This window comes from Homo sapiens, chromosome 13 (genome assembly GCF_000001405.40).
Source record: "Homo sapiens chromosome 13, GRCh38.p14 Primary Assembly".
In the NCBI taxonomy this organism is placed as follows: Eukaryota; Metazoa; Chordata; class Mammalia; order Primates; family Hominidae; genus Homo; species Homo sapiens.
In genome coordinates, this window is record NC_000013.11 from 94,991,212 (window position 1) to 94,997,521 (window position 6,310).

Sequence of the window (6,310 nt, forward strand, 5' to 3'; positions counted from 1 at the left end):
GAATGAGATTATTTTATGGTGCTGCCCAGTCTCTGGTTCTTTTTGTCAGTCACCATCCAGGTGCTTCCTGAAGAAATCGATCTTCCAGACCCTTATCTGTGGAAAGTAACATCTCAAAAATACATCACCAAAAACTTCACACACAGAGACATAGTGAAGGACATTGTTTCCATCAAAGGGATATGCAGTCAATTGTAATTTTTCTTTTTTATATTAAGCAGAGCATATTGTTTCCTTCCTTTGCATAATTAGAAGTGGCTGAATGGATTTCATCTGATTTTCTTTCTCTAAAAATTGCCTAAGTATTAAAAGCAAACATGGAAAGATTTATCCCCAAAGTAAATATTTGGGAGACAGTTATGGCACCTTAATCTTTGTTCCCTTGAATGCAATAATTAAGGAATTTAGATACCTATGTTCATATACTTCAATGTTCACTTAAAATATCTTAGTGTTCTGTGTTTTTCAGCACATTCTAACAAGCCATGTGCTATTGAATATGTCTATGATGTTTCCTTTTTTTTTCAATTTTTGTGGGTACATAGTAGGTGAATATATTTATGGGGTACATTAGATGTTTTGATAGAGGCATGTAATGAGTAAATAATCACATCATGATAAATGGGGTATAGATCCCCACAAGTATTCATCTTTTGTGTTATAATCCAATTATACTTTCTCTTATTTTTAAATGTACAATTAAATTATTGACTATAATCACCCTGTTGTGCTATCAAATCTATTGTGTTTCTTTGTATTTGATGTTTCATTATGATTTCTCTTACCTGACTCATTTGGTTGAGAAATTCCCAGTTTTCAGGTCTTTCTGTGAAAAGTGTATTATGTACAATGTTTATTGTTTTGCTTTCTTGTATTATATTAGAGTCTGTTTGCACATTTTCCATAGAGAACTAGGAGCTACTCAAAGCTGTTCTTGGAATTCAATTTTTATCTGTGCGATCTACACTCTTTAAGAAAACATAGGAAGAGATATTTGGCCCGACTGCCAAGTAATCTCTAAGACGCTTCCCAAAGTCTCTTTCTCAGAATACTCAACTAAAAGTAATAAGTTGTAATCAAATCAAATGCCTGAGTTTTGGGTCCTGCCAAATGGAAGAAAGGGTTTTGGGGAGTGTCCCTCTGCAGAATAAAAAGCCCCGAGTTTAAGAATGTGTCCTGGATTAATTCTGTTCTTGACCTCACAGCAAAATGAGCTGAGTTGTCTCATGTGGCATCATACAACCTTATTCCCTCACGCAGCTCCAAAAAATGTGAGTGGGTTTCCGAGAACAATAGCTCCCTGGGGGAGCTATTATCCGAAAGAATTGTGCAACTTCTATTTTCCACAAAGGACTCAGCAGGGAAATTTTTAAAATTTCTCCTCTAGATGTGCTGAGAGAGGGCAGTCCTCTCCTGTCTGAATGATTGAGTCCCAGAAACTTTGAATGGAGGCTTGCCAGGAGATTCCGCACTGTAACTCTGTCCTCAAATGCCCACCAGGTAGAGGGTGTGGCCTGGAAAAAAGTCTGCACATATTCATTTTCCATTCAGTCATCATAGTAAGTGCAGTTCCCACAGTCGGTTGACTGGGGTTGTTTGTTGTTTGGGCCATTGCAGAACTGACTGAAATGCCAGGCACTTGACCTGATCTGGTTGTTATGAAGTCCAAATGCAAGGGAAAGCCACTGACATTTTAGAGACCAGTGATTCAGGCCATATTTATCACTGATTCAGATGTCTATGAAGGATTCCGAGTGACCATTAGGACACCAGACTTTCTAATGCCCAGAAGTTGCTGATCAACCGGGAATATTAGTACAGTTACAGCCTTAATTGATCACAAACTATGGATATTTTTTCCACTTTATTTGACTTTTGAGAGTGTCAGCCAACAGCTATTGACACCCATTTTGGTGAAATACATTGCTTCCAGGGAGCAATGACTATTTGAAAAATGTGGTCTTTGCCCTAGGGGATTTCACAGCCTCCATGAGGGAAACGTTATTGGCTCACTGGCGGTGTTCAAATAAAGAAGAAAATGTAAGGCAGGAAGATCTTCCTTTGGGGGTCCCAAAAGGAAGCAATTGGAGAGCAAGCCTCCGTGTTCCCAGCCTCCAGAAAGCCATCAGTTGGATGTCATGGATGGATGGAGGGATCAGAGACACACAGAGTTTCAAAGCAGGAGGTAGGATTATGGCATATGGAAAGTACTATCTACATGTTTGCCAGATAATCATAACATCAAGCCATGTAGTATGACTCTTTCACTGTCAAAACCCCCACTTAAACATATTTAAACAAAAAAAGAGGGGAGGTAGGAAATTCATTAATATTCCTAAAAAGCTCAGAATTACATGCACGCTTTGCTGTATACAGGTATTCACATGATAGACTCAGGTTGCTGTCTTTCATCCTTTAAAGTTGAATATGACTTTGAGTAGCCCGTGTTGGGTGTTCTGTGATGCAGACTCTTAAGAGTTGAAAGAGACTGTAGAGATTACTTGGCAACCACTCCAAATTCCTCTTCATCTGTTTCCCCTAAAAAGTGTAAGCTAAACATGGCTCATTGGATCAACTTTGGGTCATGTCTCCATTCCGGTGCCAAGAATGGTGAGTGGGAGAGGTGAAATATTTTGACTGGTCGGGATTGATGACATGCTATCCCCCACCCCATACCCAGGGTGGTTATGCATGAAAAATACCATCTGTGGCCAGAAGATGAGGCAATGGATCCAAAGCCAGAATAAAAAAAAAAAATCTTCACTAAAAATATGATGCATTCTGTATTTACTATGTGTTAGGAAGTGTGCAAAAAACTTTATAAACGGTAAACCATTTCATCTGTCCAAACATCCTATGAAAGTGGAATGATATTCAAAATATTAACATAGGCATCTATGTATCAGAACATATGTTGGAGAATCCCTGTGCACCTGGCAGGATCCTGGAGGCCCAGAATGCACCAAGCATTAACCCTTTATTTCCTGGATCATGGGCACTTTGGGGGGAAAAGAGTTCTTATGGGAGAGGCCAGGGAAGTTGAATGGTGAAAAAGCACATGGGGGGGCTCAAGGCAAGAGAGCTGTGTGAACTCTTTCAGAAGTAATTTAGCATTTTCTAATGGCTGGGAGAGCCATGCTCATGCATATCAGCTGTATGATAGCCATAGAATTAAGGACTATCTCCAGTCTACAAATGAGGAAACTTTATCTCACAGAGTATAACTTGCTCAAGGCCACATTAGTAAACTGTGGAAATAAAGTCAACGCTAGTTCTGTCTCATTCTAAAGTCCATGCCATACAAAAAAAAAAAATTGATTCAGACATTTCCCCCATTTATTTTAATGTGTTTTTGCATACCCATGTCTTGCCCTTGAATGAAAAACAGGAGGCTTTCCTGAAGACTGCTGTGGCCTCAGTGCTTCCAGAGTGACTTTTATTGGTAAGACAGAACTCACAAAGATGCCCAGGATTTCAAACCGCCACCTTCGCGTCACTCACTCCATTACCATAATTACTATTCCCTCAAATGCTAATGGAGTGTCTAACATATTCAATATTTGCTCCTGAGAACAATAAGACATAAAAGCAATGGTATAAGCATGGATCTTTTCTTGTATCATTTAGATTACAACCTAAACTTTGCTGCAAAAACTCAAAGAAATTTTTTACTAGAAAGGTAAAATGTTTTTGGACATATTTTAGGAGTGATTAAGACTCACTTTTAATATTTTGTAAAAGTTGATTCTGGAATGTCAGCCACTCCCACCCCTCACCTAATTGTGAATTCCTCCATAGCAAGTATAAGCACTGGGGAATACTGCACTAGTCTTTTTGCTGCTTTTGACATTGAGAATGATTTTATTCCTCCCCTAATAACATTGTAGTAGTCACTGGAGAAGCATAGATGAGTCAAATAATGTCCTTAGACTATAATTATGTGGAGGAAACAGGTACAAAAAACCCCAAGAATTGTAATAAGTTGTTATTATTTGCTAAATATAAAGGAGTTTTGCATGATGGTCTTTGAAGTTGCATTGCTTGGGTTAGAATCCCAGCTCTAACTTGGGAGGCTGAGGTGGGAGGATCACTTGAGCCAGGAGGTTGAGGCTGCCACTGCACTCAGCCTGGGTGACAAAATGAGACCCTGTCCAAAAAAAAAGAAAAAACTAAATCCCAGCTTCAGCTCCACCACTGAAACACACTGAGGCTCAGTTTCCTAATCTGTGATAAGGGGACATAAAAATATCTCCTTCATATAGCTGTTGTGAGGATTATTAAAATGACCCTACCAGGAGCAGTGGCTCATGTCTGTAATCCCAGTACTTTGGGAAGCCAAGGCAGGCAGATCACGAGGTCAGGAGTTCAAGACCAGCCTAGCCAATATGGTGAAATCCCGTCTCTACTAAAAATACAAAAATTAGCCTGGTGTGGTGGCATGCGCCTGTAGTCCCAGCTACTGGGGAGGCTGAGGCAGGAGAATGGCATGAACCTGGGAGGCGGAGCTTGCAGTGAGCAGAGATCGCACCACTGCACTCCAGCCTGGGCAACAGAGCAAGACTCCATCTCAAACACACAAACAAAAAAAAAAACCACATTAAGTGCTTAGCATAATATCTGGTATATTCTATACCAAATACTCTGAGAAGAATCACAGAATAGGGACATGTCAATCAGACCACTGAATTAGAGGTAGCTTCCTGGAGGAAATATTACTTTAATAAATTCTGGAGGATAAATAAAAATTGGAGTAAGATGAAGGAAGTGGAAAAGTTATTGAGATAAGGAATGTTAGGTATTAAAGCAAGGTAAGAAATATTAAGATAAGAAGGCAGTGGACGCCATGTTATCAGGGTGTTAGAATGGAGTGAGGAGCTAGAGAAACAGATTATGCCATGATGTGTGGGCCTATGTGTCACATGTTTTGTGTTTATCACAGGGTCTGTAGCAGTATCTTGCACAGTGTTGTGTATATGAATGAATTCGTGAGTAAATGCGTAAATGAAAATACATCTTAGGTTCCTAGAGCTCTGGAAGTGGGGAGTGGAGAAAACCTTTGCTACTGAGCCACCTACATTTTCATCATAAAAAGGCAGATACTACAAAGATACTGGAGTGAAACCAGCATCTTTAATCTCTAAGAGTGAAACCTAGAAACTAGCAACAATGGAAAGTTGTCACAAGCATTAGACTGAAGTGACAAAGAGGAGAGATGGTGTCTGTTGCCTGGTGAAAGCTAGAGTGAGAAGGAAGAGGTGTAGCCACAAGGGGTCTGGAGGGGCACACAGTTGCTGCCAAAGATGCTTCCCTGAAGCAGGGAAGGAAAAGGAAGCCATGCCTCCACTTCCCACTTTTCCAGCCCACCAATCTCCTGCTGATGTCTTCTGTTGTGGAAGTCAGCCCTCAAAGCAGTTCCAGCAGGTTTCTCTCCTAGCAGGAGAGAAAACAGACAATGGATCGGGATGGGTCAAATGAGGGAATAACCACCACAGATGTTAAGGTCATTAACACATCTTAAGATGTGCTTGGTCCATTTTAAAGACTACTCACTGGGATTTAACTCCATGTGACTTCTTATTGTCTGAGGCAATCCAGAGGTGTTCAGCTTTGGTTCAAAAGTGGGCAGAGATGGGCCCATGTGAGACAATGGATGGGGCCAATCTAACTGCTTGAAACTGGGAATAAGTCAGTCAGAGTTCTGGAAGCTGAGAAGTCTAAGATCAAGGTGCTGGCTGATTTGATTCCTGGTGTGGGTCCTTTTCCTGGCTTGTAAACAGACATCTTCTGGATGTGTCCTCTCCTAGAGGCGGGGGTGGGGGTGGGGGTGGAGGTGGAGGTGAAGGTGGAGAGGGAGGTGGAGGTGGAGAGGGAGGTGGAGAGGGAGAGGGAGAGGGCATTCTGGTATTTTTTTTTATAAGGGCACTAATCCCACTGTGATGACAACCCCATCCTGATGACCTCATCTAACCCTCCCAAAGTCCCTACTTCCTCATACCATCATACTGGGGGTTAAGTCTTCAACATATGAACCTTGGAGGACACAAACCTTCAGTCCTTAACACTACCCTATGTCCTCAATAAAGTAACATAAGTACTTTACAGGAAGAAAGCCAAATCCAGGATAAAGAAATGAGGCAAGAAACAGTGATGAAGTCCAGAAATTGGGTAATGCATATTGTTAGAAGTTGGTAAATACTTACACTGATAAATTTAATTTCTGTAAAATAAAAAGCAACCAGTGCATTGTGTTTTTCTAAAAGGTGGAGTGTTTAATGAGACAACAATGAAAAGTCTTTATATCTAATTGATG

General features: G+C 40.6%; 1 annotated feature.

Annotated features, from left to right (window-relative positions):
• Positions 5,010 to 5,798: an enhancer, noted in NCBI's record as "OCT4-NANOG hESC enhancer chr13:95648475-95649263 (GRCh37/hg19 assembly coordinates)". NCBI's record gives its function as "activates a minimal SCP1, AML or CMV promoter by ChIP-STARR-seq in naive and primed H9 embryonic stem cells {active_cell/tissue: H9 hESC(naive and primed)}" and the evidence as "EXISTENCE:reporter gene assay evidence [ECO:0000049][PMID:30033119]".